Source organism: Homo sapiens, chromosome 12 (genome assembly GCF_000001405.40).
Source record: "Homo sapiens chromosome 12, GRCh38.p14 Primary Assembly".
Taxonomy (NCBI): Eukaryota; Metazoa; Chordata; class Mammalia; order Primates; family Hominidae; genus Homo; species Homo sapiens.
The window spans coordinates 102,009,113-102,032,257 of record NC_000012.12 but is presented as its reverse complement, the minus strand read 5'-3'; the positions used below and the strand labels follow the sequence as shown (position 1 = coordinate 102,032,257).

The following is a 23,145-nucleotide window of genomic DNA, read 5'->3' as shown; positions in this document are numbered from 1 at the left end:
CTATTTTCTTTGGCTGGCTTAAAATGTGAATTGAATAATCTCTTTGGTTCTGGTGGTTCTGATGCATCCATTGCCAGTGGTGGATGTTGGCCTGAGGAAATGTGACTTCCATTACCTAAGGATGAGGAGCTTCTAAATGATTATTAAAGATGTCCATCAAGAAGGTATGCACCTTGGACCTTGTGAAACCAGTCAAGCATGAAGTAGCATGTTCTTTAGATGACAAACAAGATACAGTTATTGTAAGAGTAATTAAAGTCTTTAAAACATTTTTTGGATATGACCCCAATGTGGCTTTCCATGGTTTAGAGAACTCCAGGTAGTTTCCTCATCAGTGATCAACAGTATAGTCAAAGTATAGTCAAAAAGGAGGAGCTACTGGTTCATACATAATCATAGCTGTGAAAAACACTGTTACAGATTTAGCTTAATAACGATGTGATTTCTTTTTTCATTGTTTTTTAACTATAGGTATAATATTAATATGTATTTCATTTCTTTTATAATACCTAAGGTTTACTAATCAATATCAAGATCAGTATTTTTTGAGTACATGAAGGTTTGTGGGATGGGGGAATAACTTTTGTGTTGTTTTAGCCTCATTCTGTTTATTGAAAAATAAAAGCTTCATGACCAATGACTTTGATTTGCCACACTTATGAATATAAAGAAAAGATACAAATGAACATTTATCTGTTTAATTAATTGTATAATTTAGCCAACTTTGAAAATTTTAAGTAAAAATATTTTATTCTTCCCATGAACTAAGTAAGTTAGGCAGGTCTGACTACAACTAAAAGAAAGAAGCAAAGCTTAGCAAAATAGTAAACTATATGAATAGTAACTTTGAGTTGGGATAATTGGGATTCAAGTGACCTCTGACATTTGTCCTCCTCCTTCTACTTTCTAGCTTATATCAAATGCATCAAGGTTTGGATAGAGTTTTCCCTTAAGCAGAAAACTGTGACAGCCACCAACTGGAAGCCCCTGCCATATTACCTATGCTTTGCCATGGCCCCAGTATACAGAGGACCTAGAGAAAGATAACTTTTGTCATACTTTTGACAAGAAATTTCAAAAATTACTCTCTGCTAAAGTCAGTGAACTGGCCTCTAAAGAAATCATGTGTGAAGAATGATTATGCCAGTTTTACAGATTAGGATTTTTCCATCATTTTAGCTGCCTTTTGAACCCTCCATGTTGCCTTGAAAGTTAGGGAGCTTAGAACCAGTCATACTGTGTACAGATTTAATGTTGAAACGACATTAAATCTGCCTATTATGTATTTGCCCTTTTGCATATTTTTAAATTTTCTTGTTATAAATGTTTGTTAGAGGGCAGTAAGCAATGATACTGCTAAAAGTTCAGGTTTTAAATTTCTTGCTTTTTCTGGTGTGTGATAAAGCTAGAAGAGTGAAGGAAGTACTGGCCATGTAGTGGGCAGATACTAAATAGTTATATGGTTGTCATGTCAGTACCTACTTGGTAATACTATATATGCCTCCCTCAATTCTCATCTATTTATTCTTCACTGATACCACTGTTGTCATAATCATATAGCTGAGAATATTTTAATACTAATATCACATTTTTTATTATAGCCATCCTTAGTGACATTTAATTGCTGTGAAAATGTTCATTTTTGAATAATTTGTTTCCAGGAACTAGTTGTTTACCAAATATTTTCTAGATCTGTATAGGTCATTAGAAATAAAGTTTCCATTTTTTTTAGGTAGCCGTATTCATTTTACAGTGATTAAAAAATTTATTTAAATTAATTGATATTTCTTCACTGAAAGCTTCGAGGAGAAAAGGTCATTGAGCATTTGTTTTCTTTTGTGTTATGATTTGTTCAGTGAACAATAACCCATTATATATAATATTTAATCTGAAAATTTCATCCTAAATGTACATCCTACTAATTTATTTCATAAAATACAATAATTTTTTTTTTTTTTTTTTGAGATGGAGTTTCCCTCTTGTTGCCCAGGCTGGAGTGCAATGGTGCAATCTTGGCTCACCGCAACCTCCGCCTCCTGGGTTCAAGTGATTCTCCTACCTCAGCCTCCTGAGTAGCTGGGATTACAGGCATGTGCCACCACTCCTGGCTAATTTTGTGTTTTTAGTAGAGACACGGTTTCTCCATGTTGGTCAGGCTGGTCTCGAACTCCCGACCTCAGGTGATCCGCCCACCTCAGCCTCCCAAAGTGCTGGGATTACAGGCATGAACCACTGCGCCCGGCCTCAGTAAAGTATTTTTTAAATAGGACTGTTGAAATTCAGAAGGCAAAGATATGATTGAGTCCATTTTATTAAGTTAAATTTTAAGTAAAAGGAGCCTGATTGGGGGACTAGCTGCCTTTTAACAACCCGTAGCGTTTTTTCAAATTCTACTAGTTCCCGTGCTCTGCAAAGAAAAAGTTTTTTCCACCAACGTATTCAATAGATCTATTTTTTATTGTTGCCTTAGGTAGGGAAGAAAACTTCATGTTTTTCATCTTTCATAATTGAATTGTTACAATTCACACTCTTAAATTAAGAGGAAAAACTCTAAAATATAAGGAGCATTTTTAGTTATTTTTAAACAAGGAAAGTCATTTATCTCTCTTAAATTGACAATGAAGTTGTTTTTCCCCCTTCTAATCTAAAACTTTAGGAAAATTTCAACATGGTTTATAAAAGGATTTTGTAGTTTGACTTTCTTTAACACAATAAGAAATAAATGTAAATATTGGCAGGACTATAAACCTCCAAACAGTTTTTTGTGATATAAGAAACTAGTATTTAACTATTAGTGCTGCCATCATAATTTCATTAGTGTGGCTTCTTTACACACTTTCTCCAGTGACGCAAATACAGACGTGATTTTTTGGAACATCAGACTTATGGCTGCCTTCTGTCTTCTTCATTACTTATGTTGGACACACTGTCATTTTCACTTGCCAAAAAAAATCCCACAGTTCAGTAGACTTCAGTTTTGAGGTCTTTCTTGTCCTTCTTAGACCACCAGTAGCTTTGTCTGTTGGCGATCAGAAATTGGACACTTCTTTTTGGTGTTTAACAAACCAGACTCTGTTACTTGACTTCTAAGGAAGAATATAGCAAAACAACGAATTTTCTAAGCAACATCACTGGAAACAACAGCAAATCCCTTGGGAATGCATTCTTTGGAACACAGGCCAAATTATTCTTTTTTATCAAGCTTTATGAGATTCGTATTAAGGTAGTGATAGTAAGTCTCAGAATCAGTTAAGATATTAGCAATTGTATATATTTTTCTTTACCCATATGCATATACAGAAATGACTAAAAATGCCAAATTGTATGTGTATCTGTGCTGTTCTGCTGTAAGCAGGCCCCAGAAACTAAGGTTCAAATTTGGAGCTTACAGGTTTAGGTTTCTATTATTCTTATACTTATTCTTATTATTCTTATAATTCTTATTGTGATATAATTCTTATTATTCTTATTATATAATTCTTATTATTCTTATAATTCTTATTATTCTTATAATCAATTCCATGAAGCTGATGTTCAAATAGAGGGCTTATCTAATTCTACCAACTTCCTTGTTCCCCATTCCTCCCTTCCCACGCATTGCTTCCCCTCACCTCCACCCAACATACACTTTCTTTGCTATATTTTAGGAAATTTTTTTTTCAACCTCATTCTCCTTGCTTCTCTTTTCTTGGCTTTGTAACTTATTTGTGTAACCTTTCCAATGACGTCCTGTGGATTATGCTAAAGTATAATAAATAAATCACATGCTTGAGTTTATAGAAAGACCTTATACCATCAAACCATAGTTAGTAGAAGCCAAGAGGTCTTTTTAAAGAACTATGACATTAACTCTGCTCTTCTTCTCTTTTTTCCTGGCACTCATATTTTTTTGTGGAATGTTTCAAACTCCTAACTTACCCCCTGTTATCCTAAATAATTGAATGAGATTTAATTATCAAGTTAAATTCCCAGCTGTGTCATTCAAGTAATCAGCTTTCTCCTCTATTATTAAAATTAATTTTGTTATTAAGTATGTTTTGCTTTTAAATATATTTCATTCAAGTCTTAGTTTTAGATATATATTTCAAAAGTGGTGTTAGTTTTAATTTCTTGCTTTCTTTATTCCAAACTTGAATCTGTTCACATCGGATGCCCCTAGCAAGTGGGCTTTTTTCTGTTTTTCTCTTTTTGGTCATTAAACTTATCTTCTACCTTCTTTGACTTCCAAACCTATTATAATGCACTTTTCAGAATATCTTTAAAATTGCCTCATGGAACAATATTGCTTTCAGAGGTATGGTTTTGAAGAGAATTCAAAGATGGTACTATTTATATTGATTCATGTATTATTTAGAATGCATTTAAGTATTCATTTTTACCTGAGTCTTAATAAGCTAAATTTTACTAATTTATAAGACAAAACAACAGTTACCAAGATAAGTATATAAATGGGCCTGCAAATGACCACATTGCCTTTGCTACCTCTCATGAGAGTCTTCTAAGTAACCTGTAAACTCAAAAGAAAGCCTTTGCATTCCTAACCTTATTTAACCTAGCAGGCTGTGAAAGGGGATGTGGGTATTTTCTCCGCCATAGCCAAAATAAGTGATTATGACTCTTTCCATAGCTATCTTTTCTGGACAGTTTTTTTGAAGTAAATAAAAATTAAATTTTTTTACATAAAATTTTCTTATTAAAAAAATGAGGATTAAATTTAATGATTTAACTTAATTTGGCAAGATCTGTGAGATGCAAGATACTCTGTTATATATAGTGTCCTTAACTTTGAAGACTTTTCATATTAAATTTGTAATAAATTTAGCTGTCACGTTTGTACATATGCATGCCTGGACTTAAACTCAGATTTTACTGGGAAATACAAAATCAGCATTTTGGAGGGGGAGGAGTATATCTGGACAAGCATATACTTAAAAGTTTGAGACAAGTGTACATATGATAGGTTATATAAAGATTTGTGTATATTTCTAAGTATTTGTACTTTTCATTTTAGACAAACTCTTATCCCATCTTCAAGATGTATATTTCAAAATAGCTATGGGAGAGAATTTTAAAAGTTCTTACCGCAAATAATAAATAATTGAGGTGACAGATATGCTAAATAGCCTAATTTGATTATTCCTCAATGTGTACATGTTTCAAAACAGCACATTATACACATAAACATGTGCAATTATTATTTGTCAATTAAAAATAAAAGTTAAAAAATGAACATCACAACTGGCTAATGATAAAAGAAGTGTGTGCAACAGCAATAGAGAGGTGATTGGGCTTTTTCCTGAGTGTATCTGGGTGTACTTTCCTTCTTATGCCACACGGGGTGAGAGGGAGGGTCCCATGCCATGACCCTGCCTCCTTTAAGGAGATAGAATCAAGGCCCTCAAATTGAACACATCAGTTTAGTGTTTCTTATCCTTGGGGATGGTGTGAAGAGAGGGGAGTTGACAGAGATTTGATTACATCTTCTCCCCTTAGAGCTTCACCAAGTGAACTTGGAATAAATGTTTAGTTATACATCAAGTCTCTTTCCTTTTCAAGTAAATGTGTCTTTATTTCTGTCATATTCTTTTCTTAGTGTTTTCATATTCTTAACCTGAACTCTGAGATTCACGTGTTTTTACTATTTTTGCAACGTATACACTTCTAAAATTGTCATTAGTGTTTGTACCAGTGTTGGGAAGATGTGTAATATAGTCCCAGGGAGGTTCTTGAATTAGATTTGATTTTTGTGTCTAAAGTGTTCAAATGGAATTGGACTCTTTGCTTATTAAAAGAACATTAATATAGCTATACTTAAGAATGGAACTCTCTGAAATCTTTGAAAAGATACCTATTCATATTGTTAACTATTCATTGTATGGCTTCCACTGGTATTTTAGTCATTTGAGTAATGTTTTCTTTCTTTTGGTGATATAAGAAGAGTGAGAATATGATCTCTGTTCTGTATACAGCAGAATTAGTAATGAATAAGCTCAAATGATGTAATTTGGGCTTATGTGGTATTGGATAAGACTAATTCTGTTAGGTCAATGTAAAATGGGTACTTTACTAGATTATTCTAGTGCTAGGCACATGCTAATTTTAAAGTAGAATAAGAACTTTTAAATAATGAGGCATCTGAAGGTCTTGTTTTAGATGGTATGTGTCGACATATAAAGGAGACATTTTTAATGATGAAATTATCTTATATCCTTTGCTTAGGGTGTACCAGTGATGGCAATAAGAAACAAAATGATATCAGAAGGACTAGACCCAGATCTTCTTGAGTAAGTAATTCTTCTAATATAATGATATTATTGCCAGGACATTGAATTTGTCAGTTATAATAAAAATATTTCAAATTCTCTGTATTTTTATTCCTACAGTGTTTTATGGTTGAGGATATCATCTTTGTAAATAGTGTGTCTGTTATGTTACCAAACAGAAAAATATCATATTCTACTAAGACCAGCCTTTACACATTTTAGGAACAGTTTCAATAGATTAGTAATTATTCTAGATATCCAAAGGAGCTGGAATTTAATGACAATTTTTTTTGCTTTTTTTTTTTTTTTCCTTTTTGTGCTACCTCTTTCTTGGCTTGATTGTTTTTTTGTTTATTTGTTGGTTTGTGCTTTTTTGGTGGGGGGGTGATTATTATGTACCAGGGGGTAGATGATTTCATGTAAGATCTTAGTTTGTAGGAAATTTAGTCTGCTATAATCTAGGTTAAGCCAGATTGAGAAATAAATAGGCTAAAGCTGTTCTGGGTCTATGTTAATGGTTATTAAGAAACTAGATACTAATTTATGTGAGTTTTTTTTAACCTTAAAGTATTTAATCCCTTATTGTGTGAATTTTATAAAATATTTTTGAGAAATGATAAAAAAAAATTGTGGCTCAGAAATTTGACAACAGTTTATTTCATCCAAGCAAATCTGGCTGTATAGTTCATCTTGGATAAAATATATCGTAATGCATTCTTCAGAAGAATTCTGTTTTGCAAGTATCTAGGTACTTGTAAAGAATCTTTCCAATTTGGGGCTGTAGTTCACCCCAATGTATTTAGCTGTGCACTCTAAGCATTCATTACTGTACTAGCAGTATACTTTGGAATTTTTCTTGGCTCTCAGTCCTCCAAGAAAATGTGTACACTTTGGAGGTAAAACATTATGAAGTAGTCTTTTTCTCATATTTTATCTGCCAAAATATGAAATTTATGAATTCTTTTAAAGTCTACAAGAACAAATTTCAAACATATATCTACATTTGGCATACATCCAAGTAGCAAACAGTTCAAGTACAATGGCATAGCTTGGCAGCTTGAACTGAAGCATCTCCGAGATATTTGGCATTTGTTGTGGAAATTGTTCCTGACACAGACTTTAAAAGCCAGACGGCTTGTGATATGTATTTTAATGTGAATCAGACATATAGGTTCAATCCATTTTGGTATTCATTGCAATATATAGGTTGTAAATATATTTAACATTAACTGTGACCTCCTTTTGCTTCTGGAAATACACAGTTAGACCTCCTATAATAACAGAGAGCTAAAATTACCTTTAAAATGATTATCTTTTTCTAGAGAAAATATAATAAATGGAAAACTAGCACCCTATAAGCATCAGCATATGCTGGATATCCAAGCCTTTTACCTGCTACTGGCTTCATTTCATCCCCTGTCCAGCCTAAACCTACTTCATAATCCTTTACTTCAGCCAGCTACCTGCACTAGCAACTTGATAATCATCCTTGATTCTGTCTTCTTCCTTACCCACTACAGTGTCAATCACTATGATGTTCTCATTTTTAATATCTCTCACATCTCACCATATGCCTCCATATCCATTGCCGTTTAGTTCACGCCCTCATCGTTTGTAATCTGAATTACTATAGTAGCTACTGATTGGTTTTCCTGTTCTCTTTCAAGCCATCCACTAAAGCCTGAGTGGATCTCTTCATACTTCATTCTTGCTTCACATCTTCCTGTGACTCTCCACTGCCTTCAACGTGTAGTCTAACATCTTAGTATTGCATAGAAATGGTTTTATCATCAAGATTCAGATTCTCTCACTAGCTTCCTCTCTTGTGATTCTTTCACATATGCCTATTTCATATAGCCATAGCAAACTACTTGCAGTTCCCTGAATGTAACATTTTCCTATTCCCTTTTGGTGTCGTTAAATGTTTTCCTTTCTCTCTGTGGAACTCCCTTCCCTCATCTTACTGGCCTGGCTAACCTATTATTCTTTAAGACTCCATCAGGTATCACCACCTGATAGAGTCCATAGGTAACTACCACGGAGGAAGATCCCAGGCCCTTCAACATTTCCTTGTGTCTCACTTGGCCAGTTTGAGGGTATTTCGTTGTCTATGAATGTTGAGAAACATTCAGTTGTGAGGTAGTGCCAAGTTTAAGGGTAGAATTCCAGTAACAATTAACATTGTCTTACAGAAAAGCTGCTCCTCAACCACAGCCTAGAGCCTGAATTCTGCCCCATTACCTCATATGCACATGCCATTGGTCACCAGGGGCACTGGTTGGAGTGGGGGTGACTCAATGTAACCTATCACCACTACTAGCAACCCAGTTTCAACTGCATTTAGCTAGATGTGATAAGTGCAGTCAACTACCGTGTTAACAGAGGAATTATGATGCTTTTGGAATCATGTTTACATAAAAGTTACGGAGCCTCACTTCAGGAGAAAAGTATGAGATGATGAAAGAGAAGAAAATGTGCCATCCAAGGGAAGAGTACACTTTTATTTAGAATCTTAGGTACATTTTAAGCCTCAGCCAAGAACTTTCAGTAAAGATTGTTCTGTGTTCTTTTTTCTTTTAAAGTATAAACATACACTTTATTTTTTATTAGCTTTAGGTAGTAAGACAAACTCATATAACTGTTGGAAGAAATGGCCTACCTCTATCTGCACTGAGCAAAGGGCAAAACTGAGGTTAATATAGAAATAAATACTGATCAGAAAAATATTTATAGTTGATTGGCTTATGTGTATAAAATTGGAAGCTGAGAGTACATAATTTTAAATCAAAAATATTTACATGATAAGGGAGAAGAGATCCTGGCAATTTTCCTAGAAAAATGACTATTACAGAATTTTAGGAATTCTATAAAACTGTAGAAAATGCCTGATAATTACTAAATAAATATTGGATTTGATTCTTCTAAGTGATTGTTTGTTTTTAAAAATTCAAGTTTTTGAAAATAATCATTTATATATAACCAAGAATTAGTCCTGTTTAGCTTCTAAAAATTAATTTCAGTACCACCGAGATAAAAAGATATGTGAAAGAATATTTGTCACCAAAATACTCAAAAGAGTTAAGGGGAAAATGGAAAATTTTAATTGGTCTTTGGCCAAAGGTTAATACATTCAGAAATATAGAATGGGTATATCGCGCCTTAAATATTCTTTCAATCATTGCCTAGGTTTTCTTGCTTAGAAAAAAAGAAAAAAGTTTCACCCCATCCTGGTCTGTACACTTACATTTATGTCCCTGAACTAACATTACTGTTGTTACCTAGTAATTGCTACTTTTACAATTCTAGGATAAACAGACTAGCTTCTGGACTTGCCCATCAGCAAGCCATGAAATTCATGATAGTTAAGGCTCAGGATAAGGCCGGCTTTAGAGATGGTCTACTTACTTGTATTCAGATGGTCTACCTACTTGTATTACTTGCCACTTTCTAGTTGTGTAACCCTGGTTTGATTACCTAACCTCTCTGTGCATCAGTTTTCTCATCAGTAAAATGGGAAATAGAAGAGTTCACTCCCTTACAGAGTTGTTCAGACTAAGATAAACAATGTTGTAAGCACTCAGCACAGCTCTGGATAAGCAGTAAATGTTTAATAAATATTAGTTGTGATTTATGAATGTTTTAATGGAGGAATATGTAGCAAATTCTAGGCAATGGATTTATCAGGCTTTTGGATCATAACTTGTTTATAATCCTGTAGTTGCCTATATACTATTATGTTCTCAACAAAGACATATTTAACATATACAGAGTAGTTATCTTTTTAAATTATATTGTTTTCTCAAACTGAGAACCTATATTGTTAACTTTCCTGTAAAGAACAGATTTCTGAAATTGAAATTCAATTGAACATACTCCTAACCTTAGTGGGAGGGTGCAGTGTGCAGCTTATTGATTTGGCTAAAGAAAGCATATAATTGAGTTCAAGTTACTCTGCAGACTTTGAACAGAACCAGCTCAGTTGGCATTTCTCCTGGATATATCTATCCAAAAGACATTTATACCATCCTCCCAGATGGTGGAATGACCACTCTTATAGTTGCCAGAAATAAAAGTAGCCACCTTAGCCTACTTATCACTGAGACAAGAGGGGATTTATTATTGTTAAACAAAAGGATACTGGAAAGCAAAAAACTTTTTTTACATGGCATGCCCAGCAGATTTTCCTGCCCTCTAAGATCATTCCTTATCTGCCAGGAGGATCTTTACCTCCTGCTATACAACAACATAGTGGATTAAAGGTTGAGTTTTGGCCGGTTGAGGATAGATTAGATCTCAGTTGCACAACTGGACATCCAAAAATAGGGTTTTTACTGTTTCCGTTTTGTTAGTTTTTGCTGAGCTAGGTTCTCCATTTAATGTAATTACCAGTCCTCATTCATTAGCTGGCAGACACTAGCTAGAAAGTATAGGACAAATAAAAACCATATCAAAAAATTGTAATTGGTCTGCTTTTAGAGAACTTGATCATAAGAATGAGAGAGATAATAGATATATCAAAGAGGAGATGTTAAAAAGCAGTTGTGGTCTGTGAGTGGCTAGCAAGCAAGTGACAGAGTTGCTGCTGGGAAATAAAGGATCCCAAGATCAAGAGCAAAAGTCCATCCTACCTAGAACAGCTGCTTTTCTTTTTCTTCATGATATTAGGCATTAAATTGTTTTCCTGGTTGCAGGAGTCTACCTACTAAGACAAAGAACAGAATATACCTGTCTTGATGAGAATTCAAAAGAGAAAAGACCAAATTGATCTCACTAGCTGCTATAATTCAAAATCAAAATTGTTACATTTTTAATTACCCAGAGGTTCTTATTAAGTCAATACAATCTCAGTTCAAGAATCTTAGTGTTTTGGTGTTTTGTTTGTTTTTTGTTTTTGTTTTTGTTTTTGTTTTTTGAGATGGAATTTTGCTCTTGTCGCCCAGGCTGGAGTGCAGTGGTGCAATCTCACCTCACTGCAACCTCTGCCTCCCGGGTTCAAGCGATTCTCCTGCCTCAGCCTCCCAAGTAGCTGGGATTACAGGCACATGCCACCATGCCTGGCTAATTTTTATATTTTTAGTAGAGACAGGGTTTCACCATGTTGGCCAGACTGGTCTCGAACTCCTCACCTCAGGTGATCCACCCACCTCGGCCTCCCAAAGTGCTGGGATTACAGGTGTGAGCCACCACGCCTGACTCTCTTAAGACCACCTATTGCCATCGCATAGCTCTGACAGACCATTAATTGACAACAGTACCATGTGACTTTATAACTTTATGTGTGTGTAGTTTCCATCAGTGATTTGAATAATAACTACCTCATCATCTCCTATTCAGCAATATTTTTACTGACAATGTTTTTGCTACTTAATCTGCTTTAAATTCAGTGTCTTTAAGTGTCTAGAAAATGAAAAATGTTTTTAAACTCTTTATCATACATGTTTTTCCAAAGAATGTTTGGTTTTTCTGTCCTTAAAGTAGCTAGTTTTAAACACAAATATAAATCTTCCTCTAATGAAAACAAATTAAACCAACAATAATGGTATTTTAGGACTCTCTTCATATTTAGGATGGCAGAAACCAACTCAAACTAGCTTATATAAGAAGGGAAGTTATGGACTCTCATAGCTGAAAAATCTAGGTAAGGACAGGATCTAGGGACTCAGTGTCATCAGGGCTGGCTGACTGGCATTCTCCTCTCCCCACCTCATTCTACCTTTACTTCCTTGGTGTAATAAACCGTGTCTCTCCTAGTGCTAATGGGTTTCCTCTCTGAAGCCTGGGAACATAGCTCCCCAGCAAGGCTTTAATATTGCTGTTTTTCCAGTTGAACAGAGAGAGAGTTCCCTCTTCTCCATAACCCATAGTTCATTTAAAAGGAAACATTCTGACTAGCCCTGCTTGAATTGTGTGCCTTTCCTCGAATCCATCTCTCTCTCTCTCCAAGGGAATAGATTCCTGTGATTGGCCAGGCCTAGACTGTGTGACTGAAACAAGGAAGTGGATAGGGAAAAGATGAGGACAGCAAGGATTCTAGTTGACAACCTTCATTGATTCACATCAATGGGAGAAGAACGGGTGTCAAAATTAGAATGTGCACAGCATCTGGTATGCTAAAAAGGGCAGATTTGTATATACTTCGTCCTTCCTGCTGCGCCTTTGTATATTTTGGCTCATTTTTAGTTGAGGTCAACCTAGTAACTTCTTTGAAAAGATATATATTTTTAAGATAGTTTAGACTTAGTAATTAGCTTAAACTTAAACTTTTTAAAAATTTGCTTTTGTTAAGAATTTTACTGATAATTTTGGTGTCACAAATATAAATATGCTTATTAAAATGTAGCCACCAAGCTAGTGTTTTTATTGTAACCACCAAAGATTGAAATTTTTAAAAAATATACATGATATTCATGATGTATATTTTTCTGTATTTTGTTGATGTAATCTTTTTTGGAAATTCACTTATGTATTTAAAATAACAAGAGACTATTATAAAGTCCTAATTTCCAAATTTTAGTAGTAAAGTGTGTTTTCTTTGAATTGGGAGAAGCTAAACTTTAGTAGTTTAAGGTAGCAACTTTTTCAAATATGTCTTAAAATTTCTTTCCATGAAAAACAACTTGTAGGGTGAAGTAAGAACATTTATGATCATAATATGCAGAGCCAAATTTCTGTTCCCCTTGAAAATATGAATATCCCGCCTGGAAATGATGGTATTGCTGTGAGTTTTATTATTACTAGTAATATTTATAAGGCTTTACAACTTATAAAATGCTTTCCTATAAATTACCTCATTTGATTCTTGTGGCTTGCTTTTCTTTTTTGTACCCAAAGAGAACTAGTATGCACTTTTTCTTTTGTTCTCCTGGCAATTCCAATTTTTTGAACATGAATGAGGGGGCCAGCCGCGGTGGCTCATGCCTGTAATCCCAGCACTTTGGGAGGCTGAGGCGAGCAGATCACCTGAGGTCAGGAATTCGAGACCAGCCTGGCCAACATGGCGAAACCCTGTCTCTACTAAAAAATACAAAAATTATCTGGGTGTGGTGGCACTCGCCTGTAATACCAGCTACTCAGGAGGCTAAGGCAGGGAGAATTGCTTGAACCTGGGAGGTGGAGGTTGGAGTGAGCCAAGATGGTGCCACTGCACTCCAGCCTCACTAAATAAATAAATAAATAAATAAGACTTCATCTCTAAATAAATAAATAAATAATAAAATGAATGAGGAGCCAGGTGCAGTGGCTCGTGCCTGTAATCTCAACACTTTGGGAGGCCAAGGGTGGAGAATCACTTGAAGCCAGGAGTTCTAAACCAGATTGGGCAACAAAGTGAGACCTCATCTTTACAAAAAGTTAAATTAGCCAGGCGCGATAGAGTGTATCTGCAGTCCCAAGTACTTGGGAGGCTAAGGCAGGAGGATCACTTGAGCCCAGGAGGCTGAGGCTATAGTGAGCTCTGACCGTGCCACTGCACTCCAGCCTGGGCAACAGAATGAGACCTTGTCTCCAATAAATAAACAAACAAAGACAATAAGTACTGGTAAGGATATGAAGAAATTGGAGCCCCTGTGCATTGTTGGTGGGAATATAAAATGATGCAGCTGCTACAGAAAAGAGTATTGTGATCCCTTAAAAAATTAAAAATAGAATTATTCAGCACTTCCACTTTTGGGGATGTACCCAAAAGAATTGAAAGCAGAGTCTCAAAGAGATATTTGTATACGCATGTTCATAGCAGCATTTTTCACAATAGCCAAAAGATAGAAGCAATGGAAGTAAGTATCCATCAGTGGATGAATAGGAACAATTATGGTATATACATACGGTGGAATATTACTCAGCCTTAAAAAGGAAGGAAATTCTGACACATGCTACAACATAGATGGACTTTTAGGACATTGTACTAAATGAAATAAGCCTATCACAGAAGGACAAATATTTTATGATTCCACTTGTATGAGGCATCTAGAGTAGTCAAATTCATAGAGACAGAAAGAATAGTGGTTGTCAGCAGCTGGACGGATAAGGGAATGTTATTAAATGAGTACAGAGATTCAGTTTTGCAAGATGAAGAGAGTTCAGGAGATGGATGGTGATGATGGTTGTACAACAATGTGAATGTACTAAACACTACCGTATACTTAAAAATGGTTACAATATTAAATTTTATGTTATCTGTATTTTACAATAAGAAAAATTAAAAAAAGAAAAAAATGAAGACAGACAATAACAAGTGTTGCTGACGGTGTGGAGAAATTGGAACCCTCATACATTGCAGGTACAAATGTAAAATGGTACAGCTGCTGTGGAAAAGTTTGGCAGTTCCTCGGAAGGTTAAAGAGAGTTTCCACCTATTGCTCCTGCTAGATGTTCTAATCTCATCTACTGTTGCACCCCAGTGTACTTTACACTCTAACTAACAAATGACTTACAGTTTCTGAATGCAGCCTGCTACACCATCCCATTTTATTCTTTACCCAGAATGCTGTCATTCTCTTTTATTTCCGCCTTCTCTGTTTCTGGCAAAGTCTTACTCGAATCACAAAACTCTTCGCAAGTGTTTCCAACTATTTGGAGTCTTCTCTGACCGACTTCAGCAGACTATTTTTTCTTTTCACACAAACAGTTCAGCCTTATTTGTATATATACAGCCGTGCATCGCTTAAGGACAGGGATATGTTACAAGAAATGCATTGTAGGTGATTTTGTCATTGTGCAAACGTCATAGAGTGTACTTACACAAGCCTAAATGGTATAGCGTACTACACACTTAGGCTATAAACCTGTACAGCATATTACTATACCAAATACTGTAGGCAATTGTAACACAATGACAAGTATTTGTGTATCTAAGCATATCTAAACATAGAAAAAGTACAGTAAAAATGCTGTATAAAAAGTGAAAAATGGTACCTGCATAGGGCAGTTACCATGAATGGAGCTTTCAGGACTGGAGTTGCTCTGGTCACCTAGTGAGTGAATAGGGAGTGAATATGAAGGCCTAGGATGTTATTATACACCACTGTAAATTTCATAAACACTGTACACTTAGACTACACTAAATTTATTTTTAAAAATTTTTTCAATAATAAATTAACCTTAGCTTACTATAACTTTATCAACTTTTTACCTTTTTAACTATTTTGTAATACTACTTAGCTTAAAAGACAAGTCATAAATTTTACAGCTATACAAAAATATTTTCTTTCTTTATATCTTTATTCTATGAACTTTTTATTTTGACTTCTTAAACTTCTTTGCCAAAAACTAAAACACATACAAGGCCTAGTCATGTCAGGATCATCAATATGACTGTTCTCCATATCCTGTCTGACTAAAAGGTCTTCAGGGGCAATAACAGGCATGAATCTGCTATTTTCTATTGTAACAATGCCTTCTTCTGGAATATCTCCTGAAGGACCTCCCTGAGGCTGTTTAACGTTAACTTTTTTTTCAAAAAGTAAGTAGGAGTACCCTCTAAAATAACAACAGAGGCCAGGCACAGTGGCTTACACCTGTAATCCCAACACTTTAGGAGGCTGAGGCAGGTGCATCACCTGAGGTCAGGAGTTCGAGACCAGCCTGGCCAACATGGAGAAACCCCATCACTACTAAAAATACAAAAATTAGCTGGGCATGGTGGTGCATGCCTGTAATCCCAGCTACTCAGGAGGCTGAGGCAGGAGGATGGCTTGAACCCTGGAGGTAGAGATTGCAGTGAGCCAAGATTGCACCACTGCACCCTAGCCTGGGTGACAGAGCAAGACTCTGTTGAAAAAAATATAAAATAAAATGAAATAACAACAGAGGCTGGACGCTGTGGCTCACGCCTGTAATCCCAGCACTTTGGGAGGCTGAGGCAGATGGATCACTTGAGGTCAGGAGTTCAAGACCAGCCTGGCCAACATGGTGAAACCCGCTCTCTACCAAAAGTAAAAAAATTAGCCAGGGGTGGTGGCGCATGCCTGTAGTCTCAGCTACTCAGGAGACTGAGACAGGAGAATCTCTTGAACCCAGAAGGCAGAGGTTTCAGTGAGCCGAGATCACACTACTACTCTCCAGACTGGGCAACAGAATGAGACTTCTGGTCAAATAAAATAAAATAACAGAAAGTACAGTATAGTAAATACTAGGCGATAGAGGTTTCTCAGCTCCATTATAATCTAATGGGACCACCGTCCTATGCAGTTCATCACTGATTGAAACATCATTATGTGGCACATGGCTGTCTCACATTCTGTAACAATTTGTTTGCATTTCTGTCTCCCTCACAAAAATTTTAGCTGCTTCAGGGAAGGAACTACTTGTTATTCATCTCTGTATCTCCAGTACCTAACACATTTTCTAGCAAATAGTAGATGCATGATGATGAAAATAAATCATCATAATAACAGCAGATAATATTTATCTGATACTATGTGCCAGATATTATCGAACACACTTTACATTTATTAATTAATTTAATCATCACAAAATCCAATCAATCAGTCAGACACAAAGTAGTTAAATAGCTTCCCCAAAGTTGGCCAACAAGTAAGAAACAAGGATGGGATTTTAGCACAGTCTGTACCCAGAGCCTATATTCTTAGTTACTATGTAATATAGCATCACATGTATCAATAAATGGTTACACACATAAATTAATGAATTTTATAGTTTCAGTTTCTTCTGGTCCTAAGCTGCTTTTACCCTTTTCCTTTTTTTTTTGAGACAGGGTTTCACTCTGTTGCCCAGATTGGAGTGCCCAGGCATGGTCACAGCTTACTGCAGCCTCTGCCCCCAGGCTCAAGTGATACACCTCAGCCTCCAAAGTAGCTGGCACAGTAGGCCACTACTGGCTAATTTCTCTATTTTTTTGCAAAGGATGGTGTTTTGCCCTGTTGCCCAGGCTGGTCTTGAACTGCTGGGCTCAAGCAAAACGCCCTCTTCGGCCTCCCAAAGTGCTGGGATTACAGGCATGAATCGACATCCCTGGCCTACCCTTTTCTAAAGTAGCATTTATTTTAGGAAGTTATGTACATTGTTGTATTTGTTTGAGTTGTCATAGGTACTAATACAATTTTGATGTGGTATTAAAATAATTCCCACTGGTAATGTTTTCCTACTTAACAAAGTATAGACAGTAAGAAATCAAATATATAGCAAAGAGAAATTTACTGGGTAAAATGTGCCTAGTATTCATACCCACTAATTCTAGAGTTGTTGCTTCTAATGAAAAGGGAGGAAGATGATGGTCCCATGTTAGTATTTTAGGCAGATGGAGCATCAGTCAAATCCTGGAACTGCTGTACCCAGCTTTAAAGTTTCACTGTATTGACTACATAATGCTTCCTTGTAGATATAATCTAAAATTGTTCAGCAGAGCAAATGGGTTTATATTTGACAACTAGGGAGCAATGCCAGCATTATTTTCTCTTTTGTAGTATGCCAAATATATTTAAAAATATAAGCCATAATTTTAATACCTAAAGTAACTGTTAGACTGTGCATTTTCTTATTTTAGTAATAGTAATTTCTGTTTGTGGTGAATATGAGTTTTATTTTTAAGTGTCCTAAATGTTTAATAAGAGTCAAGCCTGAGGGAGAAATCAGTCTGGTAGTTTGTAATTATTAAGATACAGCAGTTATAGGCCAGGCACGGGCTCGCATCTATAATCCCAGCACTTTGGGAGGCCAGAGCGGGTGGATCACAGGGTCAGGAGATCAAGACCATCCTGGCCAACATGGTGAAATCCCGTCTCTACTGAAAATACAAAAATTAGCTGGGCGTGGTGGCACACACCTCTACTCGGGAGGCTGAGGCAAGAGGATGGCTTGAACCTGGGAGACAGAGGTTGCAGTGAGCCGAGATCACACCATTGCACTTCAGCCTGGTGACAAGAGCGAGACTCCATCTCAAAAAAAAAAAAAAAAAAAAAAAAAGATGTAGCAGTTATATTGTTACTCCTTTTCCTCTTGGTTTCCCCCCCAAAAATACTTTTCTTGCTTAATTTACTTTCTTGGTAAGAGTGAATAGAGGCTAAGTGATAATGCCACTACACTGATTAAATGACTTACTGGCACAAAACTATTGAGGCTTAACTAGTTGACTGTTTTAATAACATCATTAAAATTTCATTTTGGTTTATTAGAGCACATCCATGCAAAGTTGGAATCTAACCATTCTCATGTCTCCTTATAATGCCTAGGGGATCTTTGAAACAGTATTTTTGCCAACTCATACTTTCTATTTTCATTCTGTAAAGATAAAACATGTAAGTGAAAACGTTTAACAAACATTAAGAACCTTCTTCGACCAGGCACTCTCCTTCGCTACAAAATTTCCACATTACCTATTTTTTTATTAGCCATTTTTGAACTCTCTTCCATTTCTAAGTTTCTCCCTGCAGCTTTCCTGAACATGAAGCATTTCCTTTTCTTTTCATTTCTAGCTTTCCTTTCTCTGTACCTCATGTACACTTGGAAGCTTCAGGGACTTAGCACTGGTCATGCCAGCCTCTACAGATCACATCTCTGTCTATAATTGGGTCTCCATGGTAATGAGAAGCAGAAAGTGCTGAAGTAGCGCACTATGTAAGGACTGGCAAGAGAAAATACTGTCGCGGCCTCTACAGGCATAGCATTGAATCCCCATGGTGCCCAAGAAGCCCGAGAGAAGCACGCTGTGGTGTAGAGCAGGAGACTGAGGACACGGACTTGGCAGATTTATTAGCAGCAATATTCTAAGATGAACCAAATTTAAGAGTTTGTAAGTGCTCTTTTCAATTGGAAAAGACCTTTGAAATTTTTTTTTCTTTTCTTTTAGGAGGCCAGATGCTCCAGTGCCTGATGGCGAAAGTGAGAAAACTGTAGAAGAAAGTTCAGATAGCGAATCTTCTTTTAGTGATTAAGCTTAATTTTGATAAGAATTACATATGCATGCATAGGGGTACATTTACATTCTGTAAGAGATTGAGCCTGAACTCTCTTAGTCATAAAAACATCAAATGGCCACATGTCCACTACCAAGCTTCTTCTATGTTAAAAAAATAATAATAAAGCAGTTTTAACCTGCCAGTATGTCTTGTTGCTAAAATAAAGGGCCTCAAAATGAAAAATAGGATAACCTAAATAAAGTACAATTAGTGCTACAAATACTAAGATAGAATATTTTAGAGATGCAATGAGCAATTACAGTCAGGCACGGTGGCTCACGCCTGTAATCCCAGCACTTTGGGAGGCCGAGGCGAGTGGATAACCTGAGGTCAGGAGTTCAAGACCAGCCTGGCCAACATGGTGAAACCTCCATCTCTACTAAAAATACAAAAAGTAGCTGGGCGTGGTGACAAAAATTAGCTGGGCGTAGTGGCAGGTGCCTGTAATCCCAGCTACTCGGGAAGCTGAGGCAGGAGAATCACTTGAACCCAGAAGGTAAAGGTTTCAGTGAGCTGAGATTGCGTCATTGCACTCCAGCCATGGCGACAAGAGTGAAACTCTGTCTTAAAAATAAAAAGAGATGCAATGAGCAATTTTAAATGAAGTCAGTGTGAGTTTAGTGATCAATAGTAGACCCAATGCAAAAAAAAAAAAAAAACAGTGAATTTGGCTAAGTGAATTATTCAATTTTTGTGAATATTTTAGCATGAAAAGTATATGGATTCATATCATGAGTTGTTAAAGACATTTCTGGTAGAAAGTAATACTGGGTTGAAATTTCTTTGACAACTTAAAACTTACATATCACATATGTTATGGGTATGGAACTTTTTGGTAGTATTTTTTAGCATATGCAGCCTTTCACCACTTGGCCATTAGTTCATGTGTTTTTTAAGTCAGATATTCTTATGCAGTCATGCATTGATTAACAACAGGGATATGTTCTGAGAAATGCGTCATTAGGCGGTTTTATTGTACAAACATTGTGGATTTCATAACAAGTGTACTTACACAAACCTATTGCTTCTAGGCTACAAACCTGCACAGCATGTCACTGTACTGAATACTGTAGGCAGTTGTAACACAGTGGTATTTGTGTATCTAAATGTAGAAAAGGTGCAGTCAAATATGGTTTTATAATCTTAGGGGATGTTGACCAAAACATTATGCAGCACTTGACTATATTTATTAGCAGATGGAAATTGAATTGAAGGTCGTTTCAGTGTGGTTCATAATGAGTAACCATCGTTGCCATCAACTCCTGTATTACCTAAACAAAAAAAAATGTGTGCAGGATTAAAATGTTCTCACCTCACCTTGCAAATAAATAATTATTATTCATAGTTATTTACACACAGTCTAGAAAATTCCTAAAGTACTTATGTGAAAAATATATAAATGCATTTAACTAATTGTGCCCATTTTAGTTTAGTTCACCTGCAAGTAGAGCCTGAGAAAAGGACTTGGGTGTATACAGGTCATTCACAAGGTGATCCCAGAAAACAGAAGTAAAAAAACAGGGAGAGGAAAAGGGAGAAAACCACTTAAAAGTTTATTATCGGCCAGGTGAGGTAGCTCATACCTGTAATCCCAGCACTTCGGGATGCTGAGGTAGGTGGATCACTTGAGGTCAGGAGTTTGAGACCAGCCTGGCCAACATGGTGAAACCCTGTGTCTACTAAAAATACAAAATTTAGCCGGGCGTGGTGGCATGCACCTGTACTCCCAGCTACTGGGAGGCTGAGGCAGGAGACTCACTTGAACCCAGGAGGTGGAGATTGCAGTGAGCCCAGATGGAACCACTGCACTCCAGCCTGGGTGATAGAGTGAGACTCTCTCAAAAATAATAAAAAATTTAAGAAGTATGTTATCAAGATTGCCAGTTGGGGTTTGAGTGCTCCAAGACCCTCTGAGAAGCTTTCAGAATGCCTCCCAAAATTTTCCACCTAATAAAACTGGGAACATTAATTAAGCAATTTCCATCCCCCGTTAGTTGAGTTGCCTCCAGGGGCATTAATTATCCCTGCACTTCTGGGCTGTGCTTCTGTGTGGAAAAGCAGCACCCCAGTGTTGAAGAAAGACTTGGAACAGGAAGCAGAAAGATACATGGCTTCGGCTTGCAGTGGGATTTCACAAGCAGAAAGGACAAGTCCAAGCTTACTCACCTAGAACTATCCATGTAGCTGTGACTGATACCGGAAGTGGACGAGGGAATGTGCAAAAGAGATATTTGCTGCAGTCTACCCAAATGCAGTCAATTCAGAACTGATTGAGTCCCATGTTAAGTCTACTTTGTCTTTTGTCTGTGGGATAACACAAGGTGATGGCCAGCCACAGTCTTTCTAAAATCTACACATGAAGATTAGTGAGACAAGCCACAATTACTGTCACTATGACTGAACGCAAGGCCAAAACTGGTACTTATCATCTTCTTCCACCACCCATTTTACATTTCTCCTGCTCTATATCAGAAATTCCGCTGGTCTAGGCTGGTTGTCAAGCATAGTGACCCAGACCTTCATCCTTTAAGTTTTCTAGGGCTTTGATTGCTTTGCCCTGTTTAGGCTATGATTATCACAGTCATCTGTTTGCTGTTTCTTACCAGGCACTGAAGCACCACGACATGCCCCAGTGAACCACCTGCGTTCTAGACACATTCTTCCTGTTTCATTTTGTAATCACAACCCTAGCTCCTCATGTTAACATATTACTTCCTATTTTTGTCCCACAGACATGAGCAGTCCCAAGGGACCGATTGGCAGCAGTAGATTCAGCTTAGTGGAATCCTTACTGTGCTCCCCCATGGAAGTGTGCTAGTTCCTTCCCCCTACCCCATCTGGGAACTGGGACTTCCAGGAAAGTCTGAGGCGGCAGGGATGGGAAGCACAATTACAAAAGAATGTCACTGAGAATGGTGGAGAAGGATCATTCCTATTTCTTTTCTCTTGGTTCCTGGATCTGTGAATCCTGGCAGCTGAGGACATGGCATCATATGCTAGCCATTTTTGTAGTGCTTTTACCACATCCTAGAGATTAGCACTTCAACCTTGCAGAATGTCATCTCTGAGATGGTGACTACAATGAGCCTATAATAGACCATTTCATTGTTCTATTTGATTGATTTCTTCTGGATGATGCTGTATGCGGTAAGACAAGTGGATCCAACAATTCATGCGCCTGTTGTTAGTCATTTACTACAAAATAATCCCAAGATCTGAGGCAGTGTAATGCGAGATACCATGTTGGTAATAGACATCCTGTAGGCTATCAGAGGGTAATGCTGGCAGAGGTGCTGCTGGAAGGAAAGGAAAGCCCCTATTAAGAGTAGTAATTAATTACAATAAGAAAGAATTACTCCTCTTCCAGGGTGGAAGGAATTTAATGCAAATAAATTGCTCCCAAGTGACTGGTTAACCTCTTCAAGGAATAGTACCAAATCATTGGTCTCTGCTGCCGACAAATAGGGTATTCAGCAGTAGCTGAATCCTAGCTCATCTAGCTCATCACTAGATGAGCATTAGTGTGGAAGCCCAAGCTGTTGGGCCCAAGCATAGCCGGCATCTCTGCTGCCACGATTACTCCATTTGTGGGCTCATTGTATAACCTGGGGCAATCAAGGACAAGGCTGGCTGACATCTACTGGAGAAATCATCTTGTCCACCTAATTTTTGCCTCCTCAGGTGAGTGTTTTCTTTCTGGCATTTCATCCTACAAAAATCTCCACACTTTGGACACATTCCCATAGTTTTGTCCACATTCTTCATCCTTAAATCTCACTTTCTCTAATCTTCCAATATTGCTCCCTTCTTATCCCTGACCAGCCAAACCAGTTACCAAGATCAAAAGTCTGTAGTATTTAACTCAGGCCATGTGCTTCTTCAGCAACATCATGACAAAGTGTACTGTTTGAAGCTCTGTCCATCAGGAAGATTATTTTCCTCACCACTAATTGTTAGAGCCACCTCTGTCA

The 23,145-nt window shown here is 36.8% G+C and overlaps 1 protein-coding gene across 6 annotated transcripts in view; it reads left to right on the top strand.

Moving 5' to 3' along the window:
• Positions 1-19,418, top strand: part of WASHC3 (WASH complex subunit 3) — a 49,285-nt gene extending 29,867 nt beyond the window's left edge. For 4 of the 6 annotated variants that reach the window (XM_024448998.2, XM_017019383.2, NM_001301107.1 and 1 more), the window contains 2 exons: positions 6,220-6,284; positions 19,066-19,418. In XM_024448998.2, the coding sequence (XP_024304766.1) occupies positions 6,220-6,284; positions 19,066-19,150 (150 nt within the window). In that variant the 3' untranslated portion in view covers positions 19,151-19,418. Of the gene's footprint in view, positions 1-6,219; positions 6,285-12,886; positions 12,982-19,065 lie in introns of those variants that run through there. The other 2 variants (XM_047428921.1, XM_011538423.2) reach the window with 1 other exon arrangement.
• Positions 19,419-23,145: the final 3,727 nt, after the last annotated feature.